Source organism: Homo sapiens, chromosome 7 (genome assembly GCF_000001405.40).
Source record: "Homo sapiens chromosome 7, GRCh38.p14 Primary Assembly".
NCBI lineage: Eukaryota > Metazoa > Chordata > Mammalia > Primates > Hominidae > Homo > Homo sapiens.
Genome location: NC_000007.14, coordinates 65,983,166 through 65,999,639, shown reverse-complemented (window position 1 = coordinate 65,999,639; position 16,474 = coordinate 65,983,166). Strand labels below are relative to the sequence as shown.

The 16,474-nt window shown below is 44.2% G+C and overlaps 1 long non-coding RNA gene across 1 annotated transcript in view; it reads left to right on the top strand.

The window, feature by feature from the left end:
• The window catches only part of LOC105375336 (uncharacterized), a 52,145-nt gene extending 44,775 nt beyond the window's left edge, over window positions 1-7,370 (top strand). Inside the window, exon 5 of the long non-coding RNA XR_002956511.2 lies at window positions 7,264-7,370. This is a non-coding gene — a long non-coding RNA (uncharacterized LOC105375336). The remainder of the gene's footprint in view (window positions 1-7,263) is intronic.

Here is a 16,474-nt window from a genome sequence, read left to right as displayed (position 1 = left end):
CCCCAAGTGCTGGGATTACCAGCGTGAATTTTTTTTTTAATTTATTTTATACTAAAAAACTTCAAATGCATATACACTAAGTGAGCAGAAAAGTGTAATAAACCCCCATGTATTGTTTTGCTATGGTAAAGAGAAAAGCCAAATAAAAACAAAACAAACAGGCCAAACAAAACAAAAAAACCCATGTGCCCATTACCCAGCTTTAATAATTATGCCTTTCTTGTTTCATCTTCACCGCTACATACTCATCCCTTGAGAGTTACTTTTAGTTCTTTTATTTATTTTTATATTTATTCTTTGAGACAGAGTCTCACCCTGTTGCCCAGGCTGGAATGCAATGACGCGATCTCGGCTCACTGCAACCTCTATCTCCTGGATTCAAGTGATTCTTTTGCCTCAGTCTCCCGAGTAGCTGGGACCACAGGCATGTTCCACCATACCTGGCTAATTTTTTGAATTTTTTAGACCTCAAGTGATCCACCCACCCTGGCCTCCCAAAGTCCTGGGATTACAGGCACAAGCCACCGGGCCCAGCCTTAAGTAAGTTAAATTTTTGATTACCTTTATTTACTGATTCGTTATAGATATTTTGGAAATCATTTGCTTTTTTCTTTGTTATTTAAACTTTTGTTACCATAAATATGCAATTATCTTGCTTTTGCCACTTTTAAGAATATCAAATTTATTCTTTAAAACAATAATCTTAAAATTATCCTTATTTATTTATTTATTTTTGAGACAGAGTTTCGCTCTTGTTGCCCAGGCTGGAGTGCAGTGGTGCAATCTTTGCTCACTACAACCTCTGCCTCCCGGGTTCAAGGGATTCTCCTGCCTCAGCCTCCTGAGTAGCTGGGATTACAGGTGCCTGCCACTACCTCCAGCTAATTTTTTTGCATTTTTAGTAGAGGTGGGGTTTCACCATGGTGGCCAGGCTGGTCTCAAACTCCTGACCATTAAAAAGGAAGAATGAACCTTGGAAAGTCTAAAAAGGTGGGAGAAACATTTGCGAGGCTTAGAAGGGTGCATATAAGATGTTCGGAGGAACTTAGTGGAAGATTTGTAAACTTATTTGGTAAGTTGCTGTTTTGTTTTCATTATTTTTAATGTTATTACAGTTATATATAGTTTAAAAAAATCAGATAGTGCTACAAGACTTGGAACAAAAAGCAGCATTCTTCTGACCCCTGAGGTATCCTCCTTAGAAGCAACTCATTTTAGTGGTTTCTCTCAATATTTACCCATAAATTTCTTTTCACAAAAATGCCTTATTATTTTTATTCATATTTTTTAATTTTTAAATTTTTTTTGTAGAGATGAGGTCTCACTACGTTGGCCAGGCTGGTCTCGAACTCCTGGGCTCAAGTGGTCCTCCCACCTCAGCCTCCCAAAGTGCTGGGATTACAGGCATGAGCCACCAGGCCTGGCCACTTATTATTTTTGGATCATCTAGCACTGTATGCTAAACTAGACTGTGATTTGGTAGACTTTCACTTCCCTATCCCCCTCCCAATTATACCATAATTTGTACTTACATCAAAATTTTTGGTTCTATCAGTATATATTGTTTACATGGTTATCACTATATTGTCTGACACAGAGCCCAGAATGATCTGTTCTAACAAGATTCTGTAGAGTAAATCAAGTCATAGGCGATCAGTAAATAGAAGAATGACAGTAACACAACACCAAGTTGCACGGTCCAGACATCATTTTCCCCAGCATGTTAAAAGTGCTCATGCCTGGAATCCCAGCACTTTGGGAGGCCAAGGCGGGAGGATCATTTGAGGTCAGGAGTTCAAGACCAGCCTGGCCAACATGGCGAAACCCTGTCTCTACTAAAAATACAAAAATTCGGCGGGCCTGGTGATGGACACCTGTAATCCCAGCTACTTGGGAGGCTGAGGCAGGAGAATCGCTTGAACCCGAGAGGCGGAGTTTGCAGTGAGCCAAGATCGTGCCATTGAACTGCAGCGGCTGTAATTCCAGCAGTTGGGGAGGCTGAGGTGGACGGATCACGAGGTCAGGAGTTAGAGACCGGCGTGGCCAAAATGAGGAAACCCCATCTCTACTAAAATTACAAAAATTAGCCGAGCATGGTGGCGCACTCTTGTAATCCCAGCTACTCAGGAGGCGGACGTTGCAGTGAGCCGAGATCGAGTCACTGCAATCCAGCCTGGGCGACAGAGCAAGACTCTGTCTCAAAGAAAAAAAAAGGGACCGGGTGGGTGGCTCATGCCTGTAATCCCAGCACTTTCGGAGGCTGAGGCGGGTGGATCACCAGGTGAGGAGATCAAGACCATCCTGGCTAACACAGTGAAATCCCATCTCTAGTAAAAATACAAAAAAAAAAAAAAAATTAACCAGGCATGGTGGTGGGCACCTGTAGTCCCAGCTACTTGGGAGGCTGAGGCAGGAGAATGGCGTGAAGCTGGGAGGCAGAGCTTGCAGTGAGCCGTGACCGTGCCACTGCACTCCAGCCTGGATGACAGAGCGAGACTCCATCAAAAAAAAAAAAAAAAAAAAAAAAAAGAAGAAAGAAATGGGCCAGGCACGGTGACTCAAGCTTATAATTCCAGCACTTTGGGAGGCTCAGATGGGAGGACTGCTTGAGGCCAGGAGTTCGAGACCAGCCTGGTCAACATAGAGAGACTCCATCTCAATTGTGTCAAATATTAATTATATTTTTAATTAAAAAAAGTTAAGAAATGCAATAAAGTGAACCACAACAAAGTGAAGTCAAAGAAAATGAGGCTGGGTGCAGTGGCTCACACCTGTAATCCCAGCACTCTGGGAGGCCGAGGCAGGTGGATCACCTGAGATCAGGAGTTCGAGACCAGCCTGGCCAACATGGTGAAACCCCATCTCTACTAAAACTACAAAAATTAGCACCGTGTGGTGGTGCATGCCTGTAGTCCCAGCTATTCTGGAGGGTGGGGCAGGAGGGTCTGTTGAGCCCCAGAGTTTGAGGTTTAGTGAGAGTTATAATCATGTCACTGTACTCCAGCCTGGCTGACACAGTGAGACCCTGTCGCAGAAAAAAATTATAAAATGATGTATTAATAAGTATGCTAATCTACTAGAGAATGCTGTTAAATGACAAGTAGTCCATAATTGCCTACAACCTCATTTTCACTGGAAATTAAAGTTAGGAAGTGTTAAGAATTCTGATCAATATACATAATTGACCTACTAAATATAATACAGGTGACTGTGTGAAAAGTATCCAAGGAAAATAGGGTTTTTTTTGTTTGTTTGTTTGTTTGTTTTTTTTTGAGATGAACTCTCGCTCTGCTGCCCAGGCTGGAGCGCAGTGGTGCGATCTCAGCTCACTGCAAGCTACACCTCCCAGGTTCATGCCATTCTCCTGCCTCAGCCTTCCCAGTAGCTGGGACTACAGGCACCTGCCGCCATACCTGGCTGATTTTTTTTTTTATTTTTTTAGTAGAGAAAGGGTTTCATCGTGTTAGCCCAGATGGTCTCAATCTTCTGATCTTGTGATTTGCCCGCCTCGGCCTCCCAAAATGCTGGGATTACAGGCATGAGCCACCATGCCCAGCCGAGTATATTTTTTATAAGGAAATGTGGTAGGATTGATAAGGAATCAGAGAGACCGACTGGATTGAGGAGGATATTTATTATTTTGGTGCACCGGCCCAGTCGGCTTAACATCCAAAGGATTGAGCCCCGAATAAAGAGTTAAGTTGCCTTTTAAGCATTTCATGGGTGCGGTGCAGTGGCTCATGCCTGTAATCCCAGCACTTTGGGAGGCCAAGGCAGGTGGATCACCTGAGGTCAGGAGTTCAAGACAAGCCTGGCCAAGATGGTGAAACCCTATCTCTACTAGAAATACAAAAATTAGCCGGGCATGGTGGTGGGCACCTGTAATCCCATCTACTTGGGAGGCTGAGGCAGTGAATTGCTTGAACCCAGGAGGTGGAGGTTGCAGTGAGCCAAGATCACGCCACTGCACTCCAGCATAGGGGACAGAGTGAGACTCTGTCTCAGAAAAAAAAAAAAAGCATTTCATGGGGTCGGGGGAGATCTGTGCAGGGGGAAGCATATTACAGAAGAGAGAAACAAAGACAGTTATTTAATTAACTGAGACATGCATTACATACTTTCTTACTTTTCAAGGAAAAACATGTTTTATGACTTGAGGTTATCTGTCTAGTGACCTTGCAGCAGCATAGCTAAAGAAACAGGGTCTTTGCTATTGTGAATAGTGCTGCAATAAACATACGTGTGCATGTGTCTTTATAGCAGCATGATTTATAATCCTTTGGGTATATACCCAGTAATGGGATGGCTGAGTCAAATGGTATTTCTAGTTCTAGATCCCTGAGGAATAGCCACACTGTCTTCCACAATGGTTGAACTAGTTTATAGTCCCAACAACAGTGTAAAAGTGTTCCTATTTCTCCACATCCTCTCCAGCACCTGTTGTTTCCTGACTTTTTAGTGATCGCCATTCTAACTGGTGTGAGATGATATCTCATCATGGTTTTGATTTGCATTTCTCTAATGGCCAGTGATGATGAGCATTTTTTCATGTGTCTGTTGGCTGCATATATGTCTTCTTTTGAGAAGCATCTGTTCATATCCTTTACCCACTTGTTGTTGGGGTTGTTTGTTTTTTTCTTGTAAATTTGTTTGAGTTCTTTGTAGATTCTGGATATTAGCCCTTTGTCAGATGAGTAGATTGCAAAAATTTTCTCCCATTGTGTAGGTTGCCTGTTCAGTCTGATGGTAGTTTCTTTTGCTGTGCAGAAGCTCTTTAGTTTAATTAGATCCCTTTTGTCAATTTCGGCTTTTGTTGCCATTGCTTTTGGTGTTTTAGACATGAAGTCCTTGCCCATGCCTATGTCCTGAATGGTATTGCCTAGGTTTTCTTCTAGGGTTTTTATGGTTTTATGTCTAACATTTAAGTCTTTAATCCATCTTGAATTAATTTTAGTATAAGGTGTAAGGAAGGGATCCAGTTTCAGCTTTCTACATATGGCTAGCCAGTTTTCCCAGCACCATTTGTTAAATAGGGAGTCCTTTCCCCATTTCTTGTTTTTGTCAGGTTTGTCAAAGATCAGATAGTTGTAGATGTGTGGTATTATTTCTGAGGGCTCTGTTCTGTTCCATTGGTCTGTATCTCTGTTTTGGTACCAGTACCATGCTGTTTTGGTTACTGCAACCTTGTAGTATAGTTTGAAGTCAGGTAGCGTGATGCCTCCAGCTTTGTTCTTTTGGCTTAGGATTGACTTGGCAATGCGGGCTCTTTTTTGGTTCCATATGAACTTTAAAGTAGTTTTTTCCAATTCTGTGAAGAAAGTCATTGGTAGCTTGATGGGGATGGCATTGAATCTATAAATTACCTTGGGCAGTATGGCCATTTTCACGATATTGATTCTGCCTATCCATGAGTGTGGAATGTTGTTCCATTTGTTTGTATTCTCTTTTATTTCATTGAGCAGTGGTTTGTAGTTCTCCTTGAAGAGGTCCTTCACATCCCTTGTAAGTTGGATTCCTAGGTATTTTATTATCTTTGAAGCAATTGTGAGTGGGAGTTCACTCATGATTTGGCTCTCTGTTTCTCTGTTATTGGTGTATAAGAATGCTTGTGATTTTTGCACATTGATTTTGTATCCTGAGACTTTGCTAAAGTTGCTTATCAGCTTAAGGGGATTTTGGGCTGAGACAATGGGGTTTTCTAGATATACAATCATGTCATCTGCAAACAGGGACAATTTGACTTCCTCTTTTCCTAATTGAATACCCTTTATTTCTTTCTCCTGCCTGATTGCCCTGGCCAGAACTTCCAACACTATGTTGAATAGGAGTGGTGAGAGAGGGCATCCCTGTCTTGTGCCAGTTTTCAAAGGGAATGCCTCCAGTTTTTGCCCATTCAGTATGATATTGGCTGTGGGTTTGTCATAAATAGCTCTTATTATTTTGAGATACGTCCCATCAATACCTAATTTATTGAGAGTTTTTAGCATGAAGGGCTGTTGAATTTTGTCAAAAGCCTTTTCTGCATCTATTGAGATAATCATGTGGTTTTTGCCTTTGGTTCTGTTTATATGCTGGATTATGTTTATTGATTTGCGTATGTTGAACCAGCCTTGCATCCCAGGGATGAAGCCCACTTGATCATGGTGGATAAGCTTTTTGATGTGCTGCTGGATTTGGTTTGCCAGTATTTTATTGAGGATTTTTGCATCAATATTCATCAGGGATATTGGCAGTATTCACAATAGCAAAGACTTGGAACCAACCCAAATGTCCAACATTGATAGACTGGATTAAGAAAATGTGGCACATATACACCATGGAATACTATGCAGCCATAAAAAAGGATGAGTTCATGTCCTTTGTAGGGACATGGATGAAGCTGGAAACCATCATTCTCACCAAACTATCACAAGGACAAAAAACCGAACACCACATGTTCTCACTCATAGGTGGGAATTGAACAATGAGAACACTTGGACACAGGAAGGGGAACATCACACACCGGGGCCTGTTGTGGGGTGGGGGAAGTCGGGGGGATAGCATTAGGAGATATACCTAATGTAAATGATGAGTTAATGGGTGCAGCACACCAACATGGCACATGTATACATATGTAACAAACCTGCACATTGTGCACATGTACCCTAGAACTTGAAGTATAATATATACATATATATATATATATAAAGAAATCTCACAGAAACACCAATGATAAAAGTACTGGAGGCTGGATGCTGTAGGTTATGCCTGTAATCTCAGAACTTTGGGAGGTCAAGGCTGGAGGATTGCTTGACCCCAGTGAGACAGCCAAGTATAAAGGGGTTCCCCGAGAACCTTCGACCGGCCTGTGCACAGGGAGGCATGTGCACTGGGGTGGAGCCATGGAATTTCACACCATTTGCAGAGGGGAAGATTCTGGCTTCCCCTGTTCTGGAGTGGTAACTGGGAATTCAATCTGTGAGGCAGTGAGCCTACCAGCAGAACTCTCGCTTTGCTGAGAGTCCCTGTTTCCCTTTTTATTTCCTTCTTGCCCAATAAACCCTGCCCTTCTCACCCTTAAAAAAAAAAAAAGAAAGAAAAGAGAAACAGGGTCTTCACAAAACCTGGGAAAGGAGGAGTGATAAGGCTCACTAGCCACAGAAAAGCAGCCAGTTAATTTTTAAAGGACTCCAGCTCTTTCTTTCTAAGGGGGAATTGGGTTTTCTCACATACAACTGAGTTTCTGCTTACACATTCTTTAATTTCTTTTAATTCCTGTCCCAGTGCAACAGACATGCTTCCACTAATGGAAAAGAGATGGCAACATTTGGCGCAGTGGCTCACGCTTGTAATTCCAGTACTTTGGGAGGCCAAGGTGGGTGGATCATGAGGTCAGATATTCCAGACCAGCCTGGCCAAGATGGTGAAACCCCATCTCTACTAAAAATACAAAAGTTAGCCAGGTGTGGTGGCGCATGCCTGTAATCCCAACTACTCAGGAGGCTGAGTCACGAGAATTGCTTGAACCCGGGAGGTGGAGGTTGCAGTGAGCTGAGATCGCACCACAGCACTCCAGCCTGGGCAACAAGAGCGAAACTGTGTCTCAAAATAAATAAATAAATAAATAAATAAATAAATAAAAAACCTAAAAACAAAATAAAACAAAATCCCTCAGGGCTTTTCTTCAGGGAAGGCAGGAGAAAATTGTAACTTAGCTTTGCTATAATGTTCAGCTAATTTTGAAAATAAAATCACAGTGCTAAGAAAATTGTTTCTGATGAATTTTGGTACAAAGCAGAATTACAGTGTAAATGTTTGATTTTAAAACATTAAGAGGCAAATAATCACACATTATATGATTTCATTTGTTTATTTATTTATTTAGTTTTGAGGTGGAGTCACACTCTGTTGCCTAGGCTGGAGTGCGCTGGCATGATCTTGGCACATTACAACCTCCGCCTCCCGGGTTCAAGCAATTCTTTCTGCCTCAGCCTCCCAAGTAGCTGGTATTACAGGCGGGACCACCATGCCCAGCTAATTTTTTGTATTTTTAGTAGAGAAAAGGTTTTGCCATGTTGTTTAGGCTGGTCTTGAACTCCTGATCTCAGGTGATCCACCCGCCTCGGCCTCCCAAAGTGCTGGGATTATAGGCGTGAGCCACCGTGCCTGGCCTCTATGATTCCATTTATATCGCAAGCCAAAGAAAAGGACTGAGGTGAGTCTTGAATCATTTTAGTTGATTTTGCCAATGTTAAGGGCGTATCCAGGAAAGAAAAAAAACACACACAAAAGTACAGGAAACATCTGCTATCTGTGCTTTTTCCAAAGAGGGTTTGGGGACTTCTATAAATAAAGGGAAAAGAGCGGGCAGTAGGAGAAAGAGCAAAGAAAGAAAAAAGAGAAGGTATATATCTAATAGAGTTGCATTCGAAAGCAATTGCATTCGGATCTTTTGATCAGTGTTTACTGAGTCCACATTTTACATGTGGAAGGAGAGGGTAGAAGAACAGTCACCTGGGCATTAATTTTGCACTTAGTGAATCTGCATTTTATATAAGATAAATAAACATAGAGTAGAGGAGGCAGCCAGATGTAGATTTGTCTCAGGTGGGTGGAAGGGTGACAATTAGTTCTGTCCTTTGTCCATCACTTGTGAACATAAGTTATCCATTGACATTATCAGGGTGAAATTCAACGGAACTCTTTTTTTTTTTTTTTTTTTTTTGAGACAGAATCTTGCTCTGTCGCCCAGGCTGGAGTGCGGTGGCATGATCTCGGTTCATTGTGACCTCTTTCTCCCAGGTTCAAGCAATTCTCCCGCCTCAGCCTCCCACGTACCTGGGATTACAGGCACCCACCACCATACCTGGCTAATGTTTGTATTTTTAGTAGAGATGGGGTTTCACCATGTTGGTCAGGCTGGTCTCGAACTCCTGACCTCAGGTGATCCACCTCCCTCAGCCTCCCAAAGTGCTGGGATTATAGGCGTGAGCCACCACACCCAGTCTCAACAGAAGTCTTTTAGGGTCAATATCTTGAGGCCCACAAGGAATTTTCTTGGAGCAAATTCGGAGGGAGGTATGTAGTCTTTTATCTTTGTAGTTATCTCTTTTTTTTTTTTTTTTTTTGAGACGGAGTCTCGCTCTATCGCCCAGGCGGGAGTGCAGTGGTGCGATCTCAGCTCACTGCAAGCTCTGCCTCCCAGTTTCACCATTCTCCTGCCTCAGCCTCCCGAGTAGCTGGGACTGTAGGCACCTGCCACCATGCCTGGCTAATTTTTTTTTTTTTTTTTTTAGTAGAGACGGGGTTTCACCATGTTAGCCAGGATGGTCTCGATCTCCTGACCTCATGATTCGCCCGCCTCGGCCTCCCAAAGTGCTGGGATTACAGGTGTGAGCCACCGCACCCGGTCTGTAGTTATCTCTTTAGAAAAAAAAAATGGGAGATAGGTTTGCATGACCCAGTTCCCAGCTTGACTTTTCCCTGTAGAATAGTGAGTCTGAGGTCCCGAGATTTTATTTTCCTTTTATAATATAAACATGAAATAATAATATATATTTGTAAGATCTGAAAACTACAGTGTAAAAGAAGGAAGAACACACAAAAAGAATACACACACACAAACATATATACATATATGCACAAACACACATATATGGTCTCTGTCCCTGTTTCCTGGGTGCACAGCTCCTGAAACCCTTGAAATCTGCAAAGTGGTAAGTGTCTTTGTGGATGCTAATGAGACGACTGATCTCTGGGGCCTCGTGAATAGCCTCAAAATGAGGCCTGGTTGCCAGGGGAACCAACCTCATGATTAGGGGATTGGAACTTTCAGCCCCCTGCCCCCATATTTCCAGAGATAGGGAGGAGCTGAAGGTTGAGTTGATCACCAGTGACCAATGATTTAATGAATCTTGCCTATGTGGCCATCGTGGTGGCTCCTGTCTGAAATCCCAGCACTGTGGGAGGCCAAGGCAGGAAGATTGCTTGAGGCCAGGAGTTTGAGACCAGCCTGGGCAACATAGTGAGAATTCATCTCTACAAATAAAAAAATTAGCCAGGCATGGTAATGCATGCCTATGGTCCAGCTACTCAGGAGGTGGAGATGAGAGGATCACTTGAGTCCAGGAGATCAAGGCTGCAGCAAACTACGATTGCACCACTGCATGCCAGCCTTGGTGACAGAGCTAGACCCTGTCTCTATTTTTTTTTTGAGACAGAATCCCGTTCTGTCACCCAGGCTGGAGTGCAGTGGTACGATCTCAGCTCACTGCAACCTCTGCCTCCCAGGTTCAAGCAATTCTCCTGCCTCAGCCTCCCAAGTAGCTGGGATTACAGGCGTGTGCCACCATGCCTGGCTAACTTTTTAAATTTTTAGTAGAGATGGGGTTTCACCGTGTTAGCCAGGATGGTCTTGATCTCCTGACCTCATGATCCGCCTGCCTTGGCCTCCCAAAGTATGAACCCAGGAGGCGGAGCTTGCAGTGAGCAGAGATTGCGCCACTGCACTCTAACCTGAGTGACAGAGTGAGACTCCATCTCAAAAAAAAAAAAATCTTTGTAGCTATCTATTTAGGAATAAAATGGGAGAGGCAGGTTTGCATGATCCAGTTTCCAGCTTGACTTTTGCTTTTGGCTTAGTGAGTTGGTGGTCCTGAGATTTATTTTCCTTTCACAGTCATTATTCAGGGAAGAGGGTAGGGTCTTGATATTCAAAATTTCTTGGGTGATAAATCTACCAGGGTTTGGATGAGGCCAGACATTGCTCTTTCAGTATCTCAAACCCAGAAAGATGAGTTACTGACATTGAATATGTGAAAGGAAAACAGTTCTGTTTAATTTCTTGAATTTCATCTAAAACAGTTCTGGTTTTGTTTTGTTTTGTTTTGTTTTGTTTTGTTTTGTTTTGAGACAGAGTCTTGCTCTGTTGCCCAGGCTGGAGTGCAATGGCGCCATCTCAGTTCATTGCAACCTCTACCTCCTGGTTCAAGTGATTCTCCTGCCTCAGCCTTCTGAGTAGCTAGGATTACAGGCATGCACCACCACACCTGGCTAATTTTTTTATTTGTAGTAGAGATGGGGTTTCACCATGTTGGCCAGGCTGGTCTCCAACTCCTGGCCTCATGCAATCCACCTACCTTGGCCTCCTAAAGTGCTGGTATTATAGGCACGAGCCACCATGCCTGGGCAAAACAGTGCTGTTGAATTTCACCCTGACAGCATAAATGAAAAACTTGTCTTCACAGGTAAAGGACAAAGGACAGAACTAAAAGTCATCCCTCTGTGCACTGGAGACAAAAGCATATCTGACTGCTTCCTGTACTCTATGTTTATTTATCTCATGAAAAAAATGCATATTCACTGAGCTCAAGATAAATGCATAATTGACTATTTCTCCACCCTTTTCTTTCCACATGTAAAATGTAGATTCTGTAAACGCTGATCAAAGACTCAAAGGAACACGATCACTTGGCGCTTCAATTTGTTCTCCCTCCCCACTTGTTTTTTTATTTTGCCTTCCCCTACTACTCACTTTCTTTCCCTTTATTTATTTATTTATTTAAGACCGAGTCTTGCTCTGTTGCCCAAGCTGCAGTGCAGTGGTGTGATCTCGGCTCACTGCAACCTCTGCCTCCTGGGTTAAAGCAATTCTCCTGCCTCAGCCTCCCGAGTAGCTGGGATTACAGGCATGTGCCACCACACCCAGCTAATTTTTGTATTTTTGGTAGAGACGGGGTTTCACCATGTTGGCAAGGCTGATATCAAACTCCTGACCTCAGGTGATCCGCCTGCCTAGGCCTCCCAAAGTGCTGGAATTACAGGCATGAGCCACCCAGCCCGGCCTCTTTTTCCCTTTAAATATTGAAGTCCCCAGACCGTCTTTGGAAAAAAAAAGCATGCATCACAAATATTTCCTGTGGTTTTTATTTCTTTTTTCCTCCCACTGCATCCTCAACTTTCACAAAATGACCTCTAAAAATGACTGAGACACGCTTCAGTAATTTTCTTTGATTTACAAATGCTTACCAAATTCAGATGCTTTAATTCAGCAAAACACAACAGCTAAAACAAAGATATCAGAAAAATGTTGAATGGCTGGCCAGGTATGGCAGCTCATGCCTGTAACCTCAGCACTTTGGGAGGCCAAGGCTGGAGGATCACCTGAGGTCAGGAGTTTGAGACCAGCCTGGCCAACATGGTGAAACCCCGTCTCTACTGAAAATACAAAAATTATCCAGTTGTGGTGGTGAGCACCTGTAATCCCAGCTTCTTATTAGGCTGCGGCAGGAGAATTGCTTGAACCTGGGAGGTGGAGGTTGCAGTGAGCTGAGATTGTACCACTGCACTCCAGCCTGGGCAACAGCGTGAGACTCTGTCTCAAAAAAAAAAAAAAAAAAAAAAAAAAAAAGAAAGAAAGAAAGAAAGAAAGAAAGAAAAAAGAAAAATGTTGGATAGTATCTGTGTCTCTGAAAAAGAAACAGATCAGGCCAGGCATGGTGGCTCACTCCTGTAATCTCAGCACTTTGGGAGGCCAAGGCAGGCGGATCATGAGGTCAGGAGATCGAGATTATCCTGGGTAACATGCCTGTAATCTCAACACTTTGGGAGCCTGAGCTGGGAGGATTGCTTGAGGCCAGCAGTTCAAGGCCAGCCTAGGCAACATAGTGAAACCCTGAATACAAACTTTTTTTTTTTTTGAGACAGACTTTCATTCTTGTTGCCCAGGCTGGAGTGCAATGGTGAGATCTTGGCTCACTCCAACTTCCGCCTCCTTGGTTCAAGTGGTTCTCCGGCCTCAGCCTCCCGAGTAGCTGGGTTTACAGGCATGCACCACCATGTCTGGCTAATTTTGCATTTTCAGTAGAAATGAGGGTTTCTCCATGTTGGTCAGGCTGGTCTCAAACTCCCAACCTCAGGTGATCCACCTGCCTCAGCCTCCCAAAATGCTGGGATTACAGGCATGAGCCACCATGCCCAGACTAAAAAATGTTTTGTTTTTTTTTTGAGATGGAGTCTTGCTCCCTTCTCGCAGGCCGGAGTGCAGTGCTGTGATCTCAGCTCACTGCAACCTCCAGCTCCCAGGTTCAAGCAATTCTCCTTCCTCAGCCTCCCCATTAGCTGGGATTACAGGTGTGCACCACCACACTCGGCTAATTTTTGTATTTTTAGTGGAGATGGGCTTTTGCCATGTTGGCCAGGCTGGTCTTGAACTCCTGACCTTAGGTGATCCACCTGCCTTGGCCTCCCAAAGTGGTAGGATTACAGGTGTGAGCCACCACACCTGGCCAACAAAATGTTGTAAAAATTAGCTGGACATAGGGTCAGGCATGAAGGCTTACACCTGTAATCCCAGCACTTTGGGAGGCCGAGGCAGGCAGATCACCTGAGGTCAGGAGTTCAAGACCAGCCTGGCCAACATAGTGAAACCCCGTCTCTACTAAAAATACAAAAATTAGCCAGGCATGGTGATGCACCTGTAATTCCAGCTATTCAGGAAGCTGAGGAAGGAGAATCGCTTGAACCTGGGAGGCGGAGGTTGCAGTGAGCTGAGATTGTTCCAATGTACTCCAGCCTGGGCGACAGAGTGAGACTCCGTCTCAAAAAAAAAATACATAAATAAAAATTTTTTTAAAAATTAGCTGGGTGTGATGGCATGTGTCTGTAGTCCCAGCTACTTGGGAGGCTAAGGCAGGAGGATCACCTGAGCCCAGGTGGTCGAGGCTACAGTAAACTGTGATGCAGCCTGGGTGCAAGACACTTTCTCAAGAAAAAAAAGCCTTTGCCAGGTGGTATGGCAGAGTGATTCAGAGTGACAGCATAAACACTTGGAAACAGATTGATTAGGTCAGATTCCCAGTTCTGCATCTTACTAGCTCTGTGGTGTTAGAAAAGTTACTGAACCTTCATGTGTCTCAGTTTCCACATTTGAGAAATGGTAGTAATAATAGTACCTATCCTGTGGTTTGGTTATGGTTTGTTTGGCCCCACCAAGTGTTGTGTTGAAATTTGATTCCCCACTGGGCCCAGTGGCTCACGCCTGTAATCCCAGCACTTTGGGAGGCCAAGGCAGGCGAATCACCTGAGGTCAGGAGTTTGAGACCAGCCTCAACATGAACAAACCCCATTTCTACTAAAAATACAAAATTAGCCGGGCATGCATGCCTGTAATCCCAGCTACTCGGGAGGCTGAGGCAGGAGAATTGCTTGAAACTGGGACGCGAAGGTTGTGATGAGCCAAGATGGCACCATTGCACTCCAGTTGGGGCAACAAGAGCGAAACTCTGTCTCAAAAAAAAAAAAAGAAAAAGAAAAAGAAAAAGAAATTTGATTCTCAATGTTGGAAGTGGGGCCTTGTGGGAGGTGTTTAGGTCATAGGGGCAGGTCCCTCATGAATGGCATGGTGCCATTCTCGTGGCAATTAGTGATTCTCACTCTTTTTTCTTTTCTTTTCTTTTTTTAATTTTTTGAGACAGAGTCTTGCTCTGTTCCCCCAGGCTGGAGTGCAGTGGTGTGATCTTGGCTCACTGTGACCTCCACCTCCCGGGTTCAAGTGATTCTCCTGCTTCAACTTCTCTAGTAGCTGGGATTACAGGCACCTGCCACCATGCCTGGCTAAATTTTGTATTTTTAGTAGAGATGGTGTTTTACCTTGTTGGCCAGACTGGTCTTGAACTCCTGACCTCAGGTGATCTGCCCGCCTCAGCCTCCCAAAGTGCTGGGATTATAGGCGTGAGCCACTGCCCCTGGCCTGAATTACTGATTTTTACATACTGTATAAACGTCTGCATCCTACTTTTTCTTACTTTTGTTAAATTTGGCCTAAAGCTGCCTCATAAACAGTGAACTGTATTCTAATTTAAGCATGTCAAGATTTCACTAATGAAATATAAAAGTAAAATTTAAAAAAAGAAAATATGAAAATAAAAAAACAATGTAAACATTTGGGAGAGAGCCTTTAGGCCTTGTCAGTTCCCAGAATGTACTTATTTTCACTATGCTGGGGACTCCATTTCCAGTATTGAGGTCCATTTTCAGAAGGTGGATTTGGTGAGCATGAAAAAAGGGGGTGGGGGAGTAATCATACAAACAATTGTGTCCAGGCCAGCTTCCTAGGACATGAGGGCTCCCTCTGTATGGCAGAGGCACCTGACATCCGTAACTGTTGTGCACCCTGCGAATGACTTTATGGTCTAAGAATGTATGTTCAGAGCCCCAGCTAAGGAATCAGGAGTGGCAAGATCCTGGAAGGATGCCAATCTATGAAACCCTGAGTCAAGAGGTCAAGCTGGGCACTTGTTTTCCTTTTTCTTTTTTTTTGTAGGAGTTTCACTCTTGTTGCCCAGGCTGGAGTACAATGGCGTGATCTCGGCTCACTGCAATCTCTGGTTCAGGCGATTCTCTCACCTCAGCCTTCCCGAGTAGCTGGGATTACAGACATGTGCCACCATGCCCAGCTAAATATGGAGATGCGGTTTCTCCATATTGGTCAGGCTGGTCTCGAACTCCCAACCTCAGGTGATCTGCCTGCTTCAGCCTCCCAAAGTGCTGGGATGACAGGCGTGAGCCACCGCACCTGGCCAAGGCACTTGGTTTCTTAGATCACCCACTTGGCCCTCTTCCAAGTTGTACTTTCCTTCTTTCCTTCCTGTTCTAAAGTTTTTTAATATTTTTTTTTTTCCTGAAATGGCATCTCACTCTGTAGCCCAGGCTGGAGTGCGGTGGCGTGATCTCAGCTCACTGCAACCTCTGCCTCCTGGGTTAAAGCATTTCTCCTGCCTCAGCCTCCCAAATAGTAGGGATTACAGGTGCCTGCCACCACGCCTGGCTAATTTTTGTATTTTTAGTAGAGATGGGGTTTCTCCACGTTGGCCAGGTTGGTCTCAAACTCCTGATATCAAGTGATCCTCCCGCCTTGGCCTCCCAAAGTGCTGGAGTTTGGAGTTACAGGCCTGAACCTCTGTGCCTGGCCTGCTTTTTTTTTTAGACTGAGTCTTGCTCTCTCGCCAGGCTGTAGTGCTGTGGTGCGATCTCGGCTGACTGCAACCTCTGCCTCCCGCGTTCAATCGATTCTCCTGCCTCAGCCTCCCGAGTAGCTGGGACTACGGGCGCATGCCACCATGCCCAGCTAATTTTTTAGTAGAGATGGGGTTTCATCATATTGGCCAGGCTGGTCTCAAACCCCTGACCTCGTGATCCCCCCACCTCCGCCTCCCAAAGTGCTGGGATTACAGGTGTGAGCCACTACGCTCAGCACTGGCCTGCTTTTTAACAAGCTTTTACTACTGCTCTGCAGCTTACCTCCCTCTGGCTTTCTGCCTTATGCCCCTCAGTGCAATTCTTTCTTCTGAGGAGGCAAGAATTGAGGTTGTTGCTGATGTGTAGGGATTCACCACCCGGAACTCCACCAGTAACAGGTCGAGGATGCTAGTTGAAAATGTTATGTAAGCTGCATGCTTTTTACAAATGGTAGTGGTTCTCATGTCCAGCAATGGCC